The sequence below is a fragment of the Homo sapiens genome, chromosome 6 (genome assembly GCF_000001405.40).
Source record: "Homo sapiens chromosome 6, GRCh38.p14 Primary Assembly".
Lineage (NCBI taxonomy): Eukaryota > Metazoa > Chordata > Mammalia > Primates > Hominidae > Homo > Homo sapiens.
Window position 1 is genome coordinate 112,208,625 of NC_000006.12, and position 16,663 is coordinate 112,225,287.

Sequence of the window (16,663 nt, forward strand, 5' to 3'; positions counted from 1 at the left end):
AAGAAAAGGCTTAACAAACAGTAGTAAAATGAATGCATTAGAAGGCATCAGTGTTACTAACACTTTGAGCTTCAATTGAAATATAATATTAATACATTAGTCAAAGGGGAAGAATCTTAATAAGGGCAACTAGCTATCCCGGTTGAATGTTCTTCAGGCATTTGATCAGCCATTAGGTATGAGCAATCTTTAGTCCCTGATTAAAATTATGTCTGCAAAGTAGAATTTAGGGGCTAGTTCAGATTGCCTGACAGATCAATGAGAAACTCTGAAAAATAAAGTATGATATGCAGACAACAGGATGTTAACATATTTCCCTTACAGTTCTTAATACTGTGTCTTGTGCTAAGTCAGTCTTTGGAAATATTTATTGGGGAAAAATGAAGGAAAAGGGAAAAGCATGGATTAATGAATTTGTGTCTGGAGCAAATAAAGGAAATTAACATGAACCCAAAGCTAATACAAAGTTGCAGCAATCTCTCATCCCAGGAAAAACCAATGAGCCTTACCCAACTACCATGAAACTAAGCCATAAACAATCTGGCAGGGCTGCTTGTAGGCTGGGGTTAAATTTGTCTGAGTTCTTGCTGGACGGATGAAGCCCCTCTCTGCAGAAGAAAACAGGCCCATTGTAAGATGTTAGGCCATTCTTTGTGCCCAAAGTGACTACTGTGTTGCAAAAATGAGCTAATTCCCAATTCTGTCCCCTTATGGCTCGATAGATGCTTTAGATTCCTTGTCAGGGCTTTAATTCTGCCATGGCAGCCATGGGAAGCAGTGACCCTCAAAAGCAAAGCCACCAAATTTCTTTTGCCCTCTAACTGCTCAGAATGCAAGTATGAACTTTCCTCATCTGCCTTCTTTCAAAAGGTTTATTATGAAACTCCCTAAAAGGCTTCAATGCACATTCTGGGAGATTGGCAGACAGAGTGCTGGAGGCAGGGAGAAAAGGTCCCTAGCTCTTCCACTTTCTAGCTGGTCAACTTTGAACAAGTCTCTTGACCTTCCTGGTTTTCTATTCCCTTATCTGCAAAGTGATGATTTAGACTAGATGGCCTTTCAGGTTTCTTCTAGCTCTGATAATTTTTTACTTTGAGATTGCAAAATGTCTTCTGTTTTACCTTCAGTGCTCTGGCATTTAAAAAACAGAAAACAAATATGACAACAATAAAAAAGGTATGTTGTTGTGAGGTGAATGGTTTGGCTCTGGGTTCCCATCCAAATCTCATATTGAATTTTAATCCCCAGTGTTGGAGGTGGGGCCTGGTGGGAGGCGATTGGATCATGAGGGTTGTTTCTAATGGCTTAGCGTGATTCCCCTAGTGCTGTCTTGTAATAGAGTTCTGAGATCTGGTTGTTTGAAAGTGTGTAGCACCTCCCCCTTTGTGCTCTCCCTCTCTCTCTCTCTCTCCCCCACCTCCCACTGCAGGCCATGTGAAGATGTGCCTGCTTCCCCTTTGTCTTCCATCATGATTGTAAGTTTCCTGAGGCCTCCTCAGAAGCAGAAGCCTGTACAGCCCACAGAAGAGTGAGCCAATTATGCCTCTTTTCTTTATAAATTACCCATTCTCAGGTACGTCTTTTTTTTTTTTTTAATCAAAAGAGTAAAGTGAAAGCAAGTTTATTGGCAAAGCATAGGAATAAAGAATGGCCACTCCATAGACACAGCAGTTAGGTATGACTTTATAGCAGTGTTAGAATGGATTAATACAGGAGGAAAAGTTCATTTTTTAATAAAACTGACTCCACTTAAAAATGAAATTAGCATTCTGAACTTTTAGCCAGTGGTTAAGAAAGCTATATCTAGATAATCGATTGCAGATAAGTGTTGGGATTGCCATTTGGACACCAACTGTGTCTCCCCAACATGAGAAATGATATCTCTCATGTGCTTGGTCACAGGACCAGAATAATGTAGGAAGAAGGCTCAAAAGAATCTGGTTAGCCTTCCTGTGTTTGTCAGTGTGCTTTATGCAAGACTAGATCCATGGATCTCTAAGTATGCCCAGGGAGGTCAAAACTGTTTCTAAATAATACTAAGATGTTTCTTATATTTTGCATTCTCATTTTCTCATATGTGTAAGGTGAAATTGTGTAGAGGCTACACAACACAAGATATCACACAGATTGATGCAGAAGCAGATGGCAGAATCCATCTTCTTCTATTAAGCCAGATATTAAACATATTTTCAAGTTGTAAAATATGTTTGTTTGATAAAAACATATTGTCTTAACATGGAATTGGTATATTATTGCTATTTTCAAATGAATTTATAAGGATTAGAAAATTTTTCAGTTTAAATTTCAAATGCCGTAAATATTGGTATATATAGTCCACATTAAAAAAAGCTCTCTGGTATCTTTAATAATCCTTAACAGTGTAAAGGTTTATGAGATCATAAGGTCTGCAAACTGCTCTCTGTGTAGATCAATACTTAGCCAACTTCAATGTGCACGTGAATCCCCTGGAGATCTGGTGAAAATGCAGATTATGAGTCAGGATGTCTGCATCCTGAGGGTCTGCATTTCTAACAAGCTCCCAAATATCATCCATGCAGCTGGTCTGGATTACACTCTGACAAGCAAGGGTCTAAATAAAAATACCTAATATTGGCAGCACTGTTTGCTAGTTACATACAGGGTTGGGCCTGAGCCTCAGTTTCTAGCATAAGACAGTACATCTTAAAGAAGTGACCCAAGTATCTCATAACAGTACCATAAAGAAGTGACCCAAGTATCTCATAAATTACAAAATTAAAGATTTTTGCATTTAGGGTAGCTTGTTATTTTAGTAACCTATTCATTCATTCACTTAACAAACCTGAATTAAGCAGATATAATAGACAATGAGCCATATCTGTTATTAAAATGAAGAAGACCTGGTTCCTGCCTTTGAGTAACTCACAGACTTGTGAAGAAAAGAGACAGGTCAACAAAGAACAATACAGTGTGTGAAGGCTATGTCTGAGGTATGCAGAAAGTACATACCTGTTATGGGACAAAGATGAGGGAAAGGCAGCTTTTAGCTCTTCCTGAGAAAGTTGGAGAAGGCTTAATGGAGGTGGTGACATTTGAACTAAGCCTTAAAGTTGTCTTTCAAGAAATCTCAGGTAGAAAACAGGGGAACAAGTTCAGGCACAAGAGAGTGAAAGAACAAAGTATGTTTAGGTGGCAGTGTGCTCAGTGTGGCTGGAGGAGAAACTCCTGGAGGATTTTGGAAAGTGGGATGCCTTGATTGGGTTGTGTTTTTGAAAGACGTCTCCATTGCTGTGTGGGAGACAGAGTAGAGGAAGGAGAGTCTGGAGCAGGGGATGGATGATGAGTTGTTGGGAAGCTGTGTCAGTGGTCAGGGAGGTTGTGGCTGTGAATTAAGGCAGTGGGAAGGGATAGAAGAGAGCTCTCTCCTAGTTTGAATTGGTAGGATATGATGTGAAACTGATGGTTGGGGAGGTAAAAAAGGAGGTCGATGGAGCATGGGGGACCAGCAGAGTAATGCTGTCACCAACTCAGGTGAGGAGTATATGGGGAGGACCAAGTTCAGGTTGGGAGAGAAAGGATGAACAATGTATAGATAACTCATTACTTGCATTCAGTTTCTGTCATTTTTTTTTTTTTTTTTAACAGAGTCTTGCTCTGTTGCCCAGGCTAGAATGCGGTGGTGTGATCTTGGCTTACTGCAACCTCCACTTCCTGGGTTCAAGTGATTCTCATGCCTCAGCTTCCCAAGTAGCTGGGATTACAGGCGCCCGCCACAATACCTGGTTAATTTTTGTATTTTTAGTAGAGATGGGGTTTTGCCCTGTTGGCCAGGATGGTCTCGAACACCTGACCTCAGGTGATCCTCCCACCTCGGCCTCCCAAAGTGCTGGGATTATTGGCTTGAGCCACCGTGCCCGGCCAGTTTCTGTCATATTCTTATGTTGATGGGCACACAGCAACAGGGGACTCCATTGAGCTGTCCAACCTTAGAATCCTTTGGACACGAAACTTTCTGACTTTCTTTCAGAACTTCAGTTATCATGGAACCAAACTGATGATGCTTTCCAAAATTTCAAATTTTTCCAGGTTTGCAACAGATGGAAAAATTGTCAAAGTTTTCATGAAAGGATTATGCACTTGATCTAGATACCAATTTACAGTTGCAAGAAAAACAGGAACAAGAAGTCTCTATAATCAGTTTCTTCCTGTTCTTCGACACCTGATGAATATGCTGGTTTATTGATCACACATCCTTAGTCTTACAGGGACTTATATGGTTGATTTCTGCCTTACACAGTAATAAAATAGAGTTCAAAAATCATGAAAATGCTAGTGTCTGCAGAAACTGAGATGTAATACCTTTGTTTTCCTGAATAGGGTTTTAATTAAGCTCTGAGACTAATAAGAAACAAATTAGCCTTCAATATATTGGATTGCTTCCCTTCTCATTGTGCCTAGGGTAGGCTGGAAGTTCATCTGGGTGAATTAAATTAATGGACAAATTAATGCTTAATCAAAAGGAAAATGAGGAGCCCTGTGCCTGTGGTGAACTTCAGGTCAGGTTTGTCCCATTCTAGTTCTGGTCATTGGGCTCCTGGCTTTCTCCTAATGACAAAGCACCCATTCTTTAGATGGTAACTAACCTTAGTTAGAGCTCCTTCTGGGTTCTATGTACTTAAGCCTCTAGGGCTGGGATGAAATATGGATTATCTGTGACCAGGCATTTCTGCCACCAGCCACCTATCTGCTTCCACTTGTTTTTTCCCCTCAATTTTTATCTTGTGCCTCCTTCTAGTACCTTTATAGAGAGCCAGCCATATCCACCAGAGTTGCCTGCCTTTGGGGCCCCACCGAGCTGACTCAGCTGAGAATCCTGTCCAATGTGTTCCAGTTCTCATAAGATGCAAAGTGGCCCATTGGAAAGACACTCAAAACATAGTAGATTTCTAAGCTGTTTTATTTTCATTTAGCCACTATTCTATATTTGAAAGATTAGTGTTCCACCAGTAAAAAAAAATCTCTTTGCTTGCTTGATATGTGTAAAATGGTAGCATAATTTTGTATACTCTATATTTTGTGGCTGAATGGCTTAGGTCAGCTTTACCAACAGCTTAGTTAAAATCAGTCTGTAAATTTTAATTTCAAATTGACATTGGACACTGGAATTGAGGAAGAATTAGAAGCAGTTGAAGGTGAACAAGGCAGATACAGAGGTCTTATATGCCTTCAAGATAAAAGCAAAATAAGACAAAATGAAATAAAAGAAAGCCTTTTATTTTTGGTTGCTTACAGGAAATGAGAGAAATGAGGTAAGTCAGGCAACCTGCAAGAACTGACTGAAACACTGGTCATGACAGTGAGCTACAAGAAGTGTTCATGTTGGAGCCCTGGCTTCTCTGGCTCCCTGAGAGCTGAGAATGAACGATAGGGCAGAAGCTGAAAAACCTGGGTCTTCTCCGTCAGTAGTCTGGGATAGCGGCACCAAAGGAAACAGAAAAAAATGAGTTTGATTCCAGTGTGACACCACAGACTTAACATATTTGCAACTAAGTGAAATAAAAAATTCTTTTTATATTCATGTGCAAGCATTTTCTGCCCCTTCACTTACATTTAATTAAATATAAATATATCTTTTTTCTTTTTTTCTTTTGTTTGTTTATTGTACAGATGGGATCTCATTATGTTGCCCAGGCTGGTCTTGAACTCCTAAACTCAAGTGATCCTCCTGCCTTGGCCTCCCAAAGTGCTGGGATTACAGGTGTGAGCCACCATCCCTAGCCACTATATCTTCTTTCTTTCTAAATTAAATTTATAAGAATATATCTATATGTGTCGCTCTGGGGGATAGGAATGTGGGTGATTTTTACTTTGTACTTCAAGCCATTTATAATTAAAATAATCTGTTTAATAGGAAAATTATACTAATGTATCTATATTTTTGGTCTGTTTTCTTACACTGAACATATATTACATTAATGAGGGAAAAAAGATATTTTTCTCCGGACAGGATGAGGTGGAGAAACCATCATTAAGATGAATAAAATGGCTATTTCTTTTTGTATTCATTTTCTGCGTTGGAACAAAGTAGTTGGAGGAATGTTGGCAGCTTCACTGAGTGCACATGTAAATGTGTATATGCTAGCCCATCCCTAAACATTTATTAGAACCTGTTATGTCACAGGACCTTGGAGGGAATCACATGATGTTTGTTCCTCTCACCACTAGGTCAGAGATAAAGCCATGATTGCTCCCATTCTGACAATGTCATTGTAAAAAGAGTGGCTTAGTCATTTCTTTCAATAGACTCTAGCAGGAGGGACTTCTTCCCTCTTTAATTTATCTCAGTCTTGCATAATATTGACTGCCTAACAGCAGCTGATGTGCTTGACAGTCTCCACTGCTTTATATTTTAATAAATCAGATAACAAACAACCTTTAATTGGTCAAATTATCAGAGATGTACGTTATTAGTTCAAGTGTATCCATGGGATTTTTCCCCCCAAATGTCACTGGGATTAAAATAACAGGAAACCGGAGATGGAAGCATTAGAAAGGAGTAGACTTTGGCAGCTGCAGAAGCCTACACTGTGACAGAGGACATCCTGGTTGTAATGCTTATTTAAGAAGATGGGGGAAGGGAAAACAAATATCAGGACTAAATAAACACTACAAAGAGATAGCAACATTAGTATTTTGTCACTTAATTCTCTGTCCCTAGAAAAATGGCAACTTCTAGGGTTAAAGATCAATAAAAACATTTGCATTTGCATCTTAATGTGTGAATAAAATATCACTTTCATGTACACACCTAAGAGGCCATTTAAAATAAAAATTATCTAATAGGGACAATTATGCAAATGTTGAGTGCATTTAAATAAGTATTCTTATAGTTTATGCAAAAATACTCTTGTAGTTTTGGAAAACCTCTTTTTGCCAGATGGGAACTTGAAGAATTTTTCTGCTGTATCACACAGCTCACGAAGGAAAACATGCTATTTGAGCATAAGTTCTTATAAATGCCCTCTATGACTTCCACTGAAGCCACTTCTGGTAAATATTTCAACACCCATTTTCACTTAAGTTGTCAGTCCATTCATTAAAAATGGGAAATATGTAGCAAGTACTTTTCTGCTGGAAGACTTCTCAATCTTTCGCACAAGGCTCTATCATGCTTCAATGAAGAACAGTCTATTGGAGAATTCATTTCAGTTAAGGAAAAAAATAGTCTCCTGGGGGCTTAAACACAGACTTGCAAAGACCACAAGGGCAAAGCTTTCATTTTCATCAGCTATTGGGTTCAAACTTAAATTTCTTTTTTAAAAACTAATTTTGATCTATAGACCTGGTTATTTTAGGTTCTAAAATAGGCTAGGCAACAACTGTTTCATTCTCCTGGTTTATGTGGAACGAAGCCAAACATATGGCAAACTATACGATTACAGAGGAATTTGGATGTATGGGTTCCTCCTCTATGTATCATTTTCAATCCCACCGCCATTGGTCTACAGCAGGCAACCAGCTGCTGAGGGTGGTGGGGCAGGAGCCTCCGGGTGCACGTGCACACTCATGCATATGCCTTGGTGGACCCTTAAAATCAGAAGTAGTTTATATGAGTTGTTTCACAGGAAAAGCTGAAGGGTGAACAAAAGCACTTGATTAGCAGTTTGCTCCTATGTGGCTCAAACATCCGAAAAATATTTTATCTTCACCCAAGATGCAAATGCCCAGTGAAGTACGTGAAGTGTTATAGGTGCCCCAACTTACCACACAGTATCCTGAGCCGTCCAAACACTCGTTGGAATTGCCATTACAGTCGCAGGGCACACATTCTCCCGACAGGGTGTGAAAGAATCCAGCATTGCATTTCTGCAACAGACACACCAAACCATTTTGATTATTGAAAAGATTGATTTTGGTCAATATTTTCTGAGAAGAAATCAGAGAAAGTGATTATTAAACAATCTAAACATTTCTAAAATGAATATACTAAATGATACATACAAAACATACTAAAATAAACTATTTATACTACCATTCAGTGATAGATGATGTATATATAATCTTCTTTGTTACATAACTTTTTCCCTCCTTTCACTTTTCAGGAGAACAGAAATGCCTTTAACACTGTCTTATCATTGCAAGGAAGAATAAGAAGGTATTACGTAACAGTAAGGGAGAAAAAAATGCTAATGTTTTCTTCCAGTATAAGCAAAACAAAACAAGACCACAATTAAGTATTAGTCAGGGTGAGGTCATGCTCCCTATAAATAAAGAAAGACTTCTCGTTTCAGCAATCACTAGCTATAGGAGAGCAACTTAGCTATAGGATAGCAACTGAGTCTTTCATGAACTTCAGTTCTTAAAAGCATCTGTTTCTTCAGATGCTAACATGTTAAAGGGAGGGATAAGGAAGTTAATGAGTTCTTACACTTGTCAAGTCCTGTGTGGGTGCTGTTCATATATGTATTTCATTTGTCTTCAGAATGCTGCGAGGAACACATGACTTTCCCTTATCCTAGTGATGAGCTCATGAGATTGAGAGGTGCTAAGTGGCTTTTGGGGATGTTAAACTATCCTGTCATGCACCAATTGACCTGCACAATCATCAGCTGCCCTCCCCAGATATCATTAGTGTGCCATTTGAGACACATTATGAGATTGTTCCTGGTTTATGTGATTAGGCTGTGGATATGCATTTGATATTTCTTTGGAATGTCTCAGTGATGAAGGGCAGAAATGGCATTATGGGCCTGGAAATCCGCTCCCCGCCCATCAGACAAGTTTATGTCTAAAGAATTCCAGACAGATAAGAATCTGCTTTGTTTCCACAGACTTACAGAGTCCAAGATTTCACATCATACACCCCCATTGACCCATTGTAGTTTGCACTTCCCTGGCGACCAGGAAATTTTCATTATATCTGGCTGAAGTCCCTCTGATTGCTATGCAAACCTATTTCCCCTTGCTTTTTACTCTGTAAAGAAAGAGTCACTAAACACCATTCACAGTATTTAAAAAAAAACACACACATCAGTTCACACTTTAAAACTAAAATTTAATAAACCCCATTTGGAGGAAGTTTAATAAAGAATAACAACATTTGTCTATGAAAAAAAGGCAAGGAAATTCCACATTTCCAAGTTAGAGAAATAAGGCTAAGAGAAGATCAATTTATAATTTTTTAATGGAGAGTTGTGGTTGATGGTAAGCTTCTTAGTTTCCACTAGAAAACAAGAGAGGGAAGACACTAAGATTGCAGTAGGAAGCATTTAATTTAGACCATTTAATTTCACATTTTTAGTCTTTGCCGCAAAGTAAAACATACATGTTTTCATTGTGATGCAGTACACAGATTGGTATCTATATCTATATTGGTGTAGATATGGAGATAGATATAGATATCCATATATATGTGTCTCAGAGAAAAGATTCACAAAGTAATAATGTACCTAAAACTTCTCTATTGTATTTAAGAGTATATCCTGGTCATGACCCATAAAATTGATCTGATGACCCATGAATGTGTTGCAGTTTTGCATGACTGCAGGGTTTTCTTTATAAGAGTAGTGGGTAAGAGTAGTGACGGTCTTAATATTAGTTATCTTAGTAGCCTCTTAAATGGTGGTTTCTGAGCTCTCTAAATGACCATATTACAGTCTTCTGGGGAGCTTCTGATTCAGTGAAACCAAAGGATCTGCATTTTAAAAAATAACTTTTGTGTTTTAGAATAACTTTAGATTTACAGAAAAATTGTGAAGGATCTGCATTTTTAAAAAGCTCCCCAAAGACTCTGATATTTGGCCAGGTTTGGAAGCATCTCTCACAATGCCTTGTATATATTAATTGCTCAATGAACTCTTGGTGATTTGGGTGGTTTGGACAAGGACAGCAAACTGGAGACATATATACTATTGGGAGCCCACAGAATATACTGATAATCCATCCACTGCTCTCTCCTAAGGGTGGATTTCATCTCAACTCTTTGTCAACAGTCCAGCAGCCAGTGCCTAGGTTGGACAGCATGCAAGATGAAATCTTTGTGATGTGCCAAGTTTAGGAGGAGAGTTCACTGTGAGAGCCTGTCATTATCCACTTACCACTCCCCAATCTGAGATTATGACCTTGGGTGAAGGATAACTTGGCTCTGATCTCTTATAATGTGGGAGATGGGAAGAAAAGGGAGGTACGAACAGGGCTGTGTTGAGTCATTTGGCCCCCCGCCGAGAGGGCGAGGAGGGCTGGCAGGGAAACCTGGCACACTACGTTCCTGCTGGGCCTTGTCCACCTGAAAGAATTATATTTTTCAGTCATCTATCTGGGGGCCCTGGGCATGCCCTGCTAGAGCACATGTCCTGGGTAGCTTGCGTCTGGTGTTGTGGAACTTTGGAGGACTCCCTGGAATGGAGTTTTTAAGTGGTTCAAGAGAAGTTTGAGTGTACTGAAGGATGAGCTGTTAAAGATTGTTTCCTTTAGGTGGAAATATTTCATCATGGCTCCAGTGAGTCCTGTTATTTATTTATTTTTACTGAATCTTTCTTTGAAATTTCGAAGGACCTGGCAAAATTGGCCTTTTTGTAATATCAAAAGGCCGATATTTCCAAGTATGAAAGTAGAACGATGTATTTTTAGTTTTGCTCCTGGTTAATGTAATCGTTATCCTTAGTAATTCTAACACCTGTGCTATTTAGAGGCCTGTGAAAGCTGAATGGATTCTCCAAAAATTAGTGTCTATTTTCTTTTGGAAGAGTCTCCACAGTTTACTAAACAAAGATGGTGTTTGTGAATGTCTATGTATGAGAGAGTAAGAGAGGAAGCCTTCCAATCAATTTTTTGATACCACACTGAATCCTCTTTTCCACATGAGAAGCCTGTCCTATACTAGACAACTGTAAAAACACAATCTTAGCATTCAGAGGATCTGTACCTTCTGGGGTGCCATGGCCTTTTTAAAAATTGATAGTAATAACAAGGATAATGATGATGATAATTATAATATAGTGGCCAGCAATGTCATACAACTCCAAGAGTTCAGACTGATCCAAATCTTGTTCTTTCTTTGCTATAACTTGCTGCCCCTCATAAATAAATACATACCTAAAGTTTATTTAATTGAACATGAATATCTACCATGTTTAAGTCACTGTGTCAGTTATGTTGCACAATTCTCTCACTTGACACCACAGTAGCCCTATGAGGTAGGTTCCCTTGTCTTTGTTTTACTGGTGAGGACTTTGTGACTTACAGAGATGTATTACTGAAGCCGGCTAATACAGATAAGAAATGGTGGACCCAGGATTTAGATCCTTCATTTTTTCCCTCAAGTTTTAGCTCTTAACCATCTTGCGTGCCATTAATATATTGAACCAAACATTTCTTGTTGGACATTTAGGTTATTTCCAAATTTTTGCTGCTATTAACATTTCAAAGCAGGCTGAAATGGATAAAAAATGTAAAATGCCTCCTTTAAATCCCAGAAAAAAATCTTTGCTAATAGACACAATACTTAAAAATACATAGTTATTAATATATGAAAACCATTGAATGGGATATTGACTTTTAAAAATATTTATTTTAGCCAAATTTTCTCTTTGACCAATTACCTTCCACTAAGTTACTTGTAGATCTTTTACAGCTCTTTATTATTAAGAGACTCCTATTATCACAGCTTGCCTCCTGCTCTACCATTAAGACTGAATTAATCCATACCATTTACTTCTGCCTTTGAAAAATAAGAGTGAAAATTCCCATTTGCTTACTTTGTTATATTTAGTATGAGGTCTGGCTTGGAGTAAAATCATTGTATGTGTACTTGCCTAATTTTACATTTATGGAAATGAGAACTAGATGTAACTTTATGAGGAAATGAGTGTGGTGTATCTACATGTGTCAATTACATTTAAAGGAACTGGGATGACAGGACATGTTGTTATCACTGCAGAAGGAATTATTTCCAGAGGTTTATCATATGATCATAATATTATTTATTTCATAAGATATAGTTATAATGAATTAAGATTGTTTAACAAAGAGGACCAAGTGAATGACCTTTATACGAGTATCTGATTATTTTTGTCTTCATTTGAAGAGCCCCTTGAGAGCACTAGAGTCATACCAACAATACTGTCATTGGATATAACATTTTAAACATTTTCTAAAAATATTTAAATCACTTTCTTTTGAAGGATAGTCCAGTATGCATGCTTTGGCTATGGCAAACTTTTAAGTCATTTGCAGTTATTAAATAAAGTGGGTACCAATCTAAGTAACAAAATTTTAGTTAAAAAATTTTCACAAAAATCTCACCGTTTCCCAAACACTATCACAGAGGAGCTAATTAATTGCCCACAAGCCACTACTTTTGCATAGATACAGAATCTCAGAGAACTTCAGAATTTCTGTTGAGAAGCCTGATTTATTAAATCACTTACATACTCGAATAGATCTTCTAGGGATCTAAGGTCCCTAATTACCCATTTAAACAAACCAACAATGGCAAAACTTGATGGGATTTAGGAAGAGTTTGAAGTTGTCATCGGAGAGTATGAGATAAATTCTGAGGTTTCTGAGTCCCAAAGAGGATCAGACCCAAGTCTCCAGCTCCAGCGAATGATGAAGAATTAATTATAACAAAATTCCATCAGAAAGAACACACTCTACAGCCCTAGTGTCTATTCTCATAGGAGCTGATTGGAATAGTTATTTGCATTGTGTTTCCAACCAAAGATCTACGAACATATGACATATATTGACTCAACTCATCTTCCTTTCTGAATTAGACTTAGAATTTGATTCAACAACTTTTGCTTCAGTTTATTGAGGCTCCAAATAGAAAGGATAAAAACAAAAACAAACCCAAAATCCCTCTAAATTCATTCACTGGTGTTCAGAATCATTGCTACCATCCAAATTAGTCTTCTTCAAATTTAACAGCCCACATTACATTATCTTTCTGCTTAGGTTTTTGTATGTATTTGATGAATCCACTTTTCTCTTGTTTCCAGACAACAATGATTTTTAGTTCCAGTTTAGTTATAGTGAGTTCCATGTTTTGTTTTAGCAAATAATAAAAGTCAGCTTAAGATAGAATGTTATGCTCAGTTAGGAGCTAAAACTGTGTGCCCTTACTTAAGAGTCTGTGGTTTCTGCACAATGCTGACTTCCATCTGCCTAAAACTTGGGCAGACTTAAGAATCAGATAGTATTCAAGGATTTTCTAGTGGAGAAAAACATGATTTAATCTATTCAAAAATTTCCAAAATATTCCACCCTTTTCTAAGGAGGAATGACTTCTGAGAACATATGAATATATTAAATGAGTAGGTATTTCACAAGCCATTTTTTTCTGTGTCAGTAAAAATAAAATATGGAATATCTGAAATGGCAAGCAGTTCTGAATTTAAGCTTTTGCTAACTTTTGGCTCCATATGTTTTTCAGATCAGGCTTAACATGTCCTGATTTTTAGTGCACAAACCTATAAAGTGCCAAAATGAGCTAAATGGATTATGTGTTGCAGTTACCAAGAAGTTGGCTTCTTGATTGATTTTACTTGAATCTGAAGACAATTACTCACGCATCCTCCCTTGGGTATCTCTAAGCTCTTGTTTGCATAATTGAAATTCCCCACATTTTAATAGGCAAAGTTAATTTTTAGATTTTGACAGCGATTTCACCATAACTCAATTAGGAAAGTGGTTTCAACATTCTTCGGAGGTTTATGCAGTTCAAAGGCATTTTTTTCTTAGGTTGGCATAATAAAGCTAGGCCAAAAACCAAACACAGACTATGGTGCTGGTTTCCCCTACTTGGCCTAGAGAGTTACCTTTGTGCTTACTGCTCAGGCCCCATATCCGCCATGCCTTGCTCAGCTTACAAAACACTCCAGTTCTCAATTTAACCATCAATAAAATAGAGACTGTGACTTAGAGCCTGAGGAATTCCAAGGAGCACAGAGCCATCCTAACCACTCTTAAGCCAAGTCCTTTAATTTTGTAAAGAGTGGAGACAGGGTTATCACATGTTTACATCACATTTCTGTGGCTACTCCTCAGCACTCTTCATGGGCTTCATGGGTGGAAACCAGTGCTCCACTCACAGCTCTCAAATAACAGTCCCTGAACCCTGTTCATCAACTATTTGGACTGTAGATACCAACAGCCTTGGCGTGTGTTGAAGTACTTGCTACGCTTGCTAATAAATAGCCCTCTTTATTTGTCTAATTGAAACAATAAACTAAGAAAATCCACAGCCCCTACAGCCGTACAGGTTTTCTTTTAGAAATGTTGGGTTTGAGGATGATTGTATTTATTAATACTAATGAACATTTCTTTAATTTGCTTCTTGAAAATTATTTAAAGTAATTGTCAAGTCACTTGTTTATAGTAGAGATTGTTGCTTATATAACATAACGAGGCTTCAGTGCTGCCTTTTTTCCTTTGGTTTTTCTAGAAATAAATCTCCTGCTAACATCTGGCTTTCTGCTCTGGGTTCATCTCACATCACCTCCTGTAACTGGCTTGTTCTTTTCACTCCTCGCCTTCCAAGCTATGGTTACACAACATAGCCTCTGATGCTGCCAGATTTTTTTTTTTACATCTGAAAACTGACTCAGTTTTATTTAATTTACTGGGGCAAATGCCTTGGACACATTTCCAAGAAAGGAAGAGATGCGGCACACAAGGGTTAGCAATAAGAATGAGTAGAGAGAAAGGACTTCAGAATTATAGGCATTTAGGGGATTTTGATTTGACTCCTTAGCTACTTAGAAGGAATCAATGTTGTGAGGTGAAAGACATCTCTGTCATCTTCATCTGGTTTTTATAAATCACAGCTAATAATTTACTGACAGACACCAAGCACTGAGCTAAGTGCTTTTTATGGATGATCCAGTTTGATCATTACCATTTAATGACCTACAGTCTTGCAAAAGTCTGCCTAAATTACTTTTCTTTTTATAAGAAGTTTGGAGGATGAACTGTCTATAAATGACAACAGCTTCTCTTCAGTGTACTCAGGGAAGGCAGTTGGGTTGTTTCATCAGCGTCCATTGCTGGTAGATGACCCTGCTTCTGTCTTGAGGTCCTGTGGGTATTTCAGTGCTATTCTCACCCTAGATTTCTCAAGATGCAAGGCACAAAGTGAAAGTGACTGGCAGGACATGTCTTTCCTTCCTTTTGCTCTTCCTCACAGGTTTTTGCATCACTGAAGAAATGCTATTGTGAATTAATAGGAAAAAATAAATGTATCCCAAACTTCTATTGTACCCTCTTACTCTCAGCAGCTAATCCTGCTTCTTTAGTGAAAACACAGAGGCTATTGGGTGGGAAATCTCATACTGTCTTTTTTTTCTAAATTCCCCTTTGTCTTGACTCATCCTTGTGTCCTCTGCCCATCTCAGAAGCAGTACTCTTTTCACTATAGGAAAGAGAAGCCTTCTATCTGTGCTCTGGGATCCACGCATCTCTGGCCATCACACCTGGCCCCATCATCTGGCCTTCCTCTCACATACCATGCACTTTCACATCCACAGGGATGAGGGGAGGCAAAGAGAACACTTAGGTGCTTCAACCTGTGTTGGATGAGCCTTGACATCTTTACCTGGGCTCAGATCCAAGAATATCCTCCCTCCCCTTTATTATCCTCCAAGAATATCCTCCCTCCCCTTTATTATCCAAGAATATCCTCCCTCCCTTTTATACATATATCCCTCCCTTGGGTATATATCCAAGAATATCCTCCCTCCCCTTTATTGTCTGCCTCCCCTTTATTTCCTTCTTCTTGTCCAGCAGATCTTGAGTGAGAACTTAATCGCACTGGCTCTGCTTCCTTCATGCTATGCTGATCCATGCCTCCATCCATCGTCTGGCTCTGCTTCCATTGCACACTGAAATTGCCCTCACAAAGATGGAATTCCAGTACTTAACATTGTTGATGGCTGGGTGCGGTGGCTCACGCCTGTAATCCCAGCACTTTGGGAGGCTGAGGCAGGTAGATCACTTGAGGTAAGGAGTTTGAGACCAGCCTGGCCAACATGGTGAAACCCCAACTCTATTAAAAATATAAAAATTAGCCAGTGGTAGAGGTGTTTGCCTGTAATCCCAGCTACTTGGGAGGCTGAGGCAGGGGAATCACTTGAATCCGGGAGGCGGAGGTTGCAGTGAGCCGAGTTTGCGCCATTGCACTCCAGCCTGGGCGACAGAGCAAGACTGTCTCAAAAAAAAAAAAAAAAAAAAAGCAAACATTTTTGAAATTTCTTCCCTCCTTGAAGTTCTCTCTTCTCCTGATTTCCAGGACAACTCTTTCTTCTGGCTTTTCCCCTGCCTACCTTTCTTTCTCAGTTTTTTTTTTTTTAATTTAATTTTTTTTTGGCAGGGGACGGGGAAGGGGCAGAAGCAAGTGGTTCATCTTCTGCTGCTTCTACATTGCTGGTGTTCTCCAGGGTAACCTCCTTAGCCCTCTTTTCTATCTATACACTTTTATGTATGGATGAAATTTGTGGATGATGTTAATCCCTCCCCCAATTTTATCCTCCAGCTATATTTTGGTAATTCCTAAGTCTCTCTACATATCCCTGATCTTAGTTTTTTATGCCACCCCCTTGTTTCTAAGTGCTTGTTAGACAAGCCCATCTCCAATTTTATAGGCACCTGAAGTTGAGTGTGTCCCACACTGACTTTATCATAGCCT

General features: G+C 38.6%; 1 protein-coding gene across 9 annotated transcripts in view, besides 1 other annotated feature; it reads right to left on the reverse strand.

Annotated features, from left to right (window-relative positions):
• LAMA4 (laminin subunit alpha 4) overlaps positions 1-16,663 on the reverse strand; it is a 147,055-nt gene that overhangs the window by 100,694 nt on the left and 29,698 nt on the right. For all 9 annotated transcript variants that reach the window (XM_047418770.1, XM_047418769.1, XM_017010854.3 and 6 more), the window contains exon 3: positions 7,744-7,845. In XM_047418770.1, coding sequence (XP_047274726.1) covers positions 7,744-7,845 — 102 coding nt within the window. The remainder of the gene's footprint in view (positions 1-7,743; positions 7,846-16,663) is intronic.
• Positions 5,997-6,498: an enhancer, noted in NCBI's record as "NANOG hESC enhancer chr6:112535822-112536323 (GRCh37/hg19 assembly coordinates)". NCBI's record gives its function as "activates a minimal SCP1, AML or CMV promoter by ChIP-STARR-seq in naive H9 embryonic stem cells {active_cell/tissue: H9 hESC(naive)}" and the evidence as "EXISTENCE:reporter gene assay evidence [ECO:0000049][PMID:30033119]".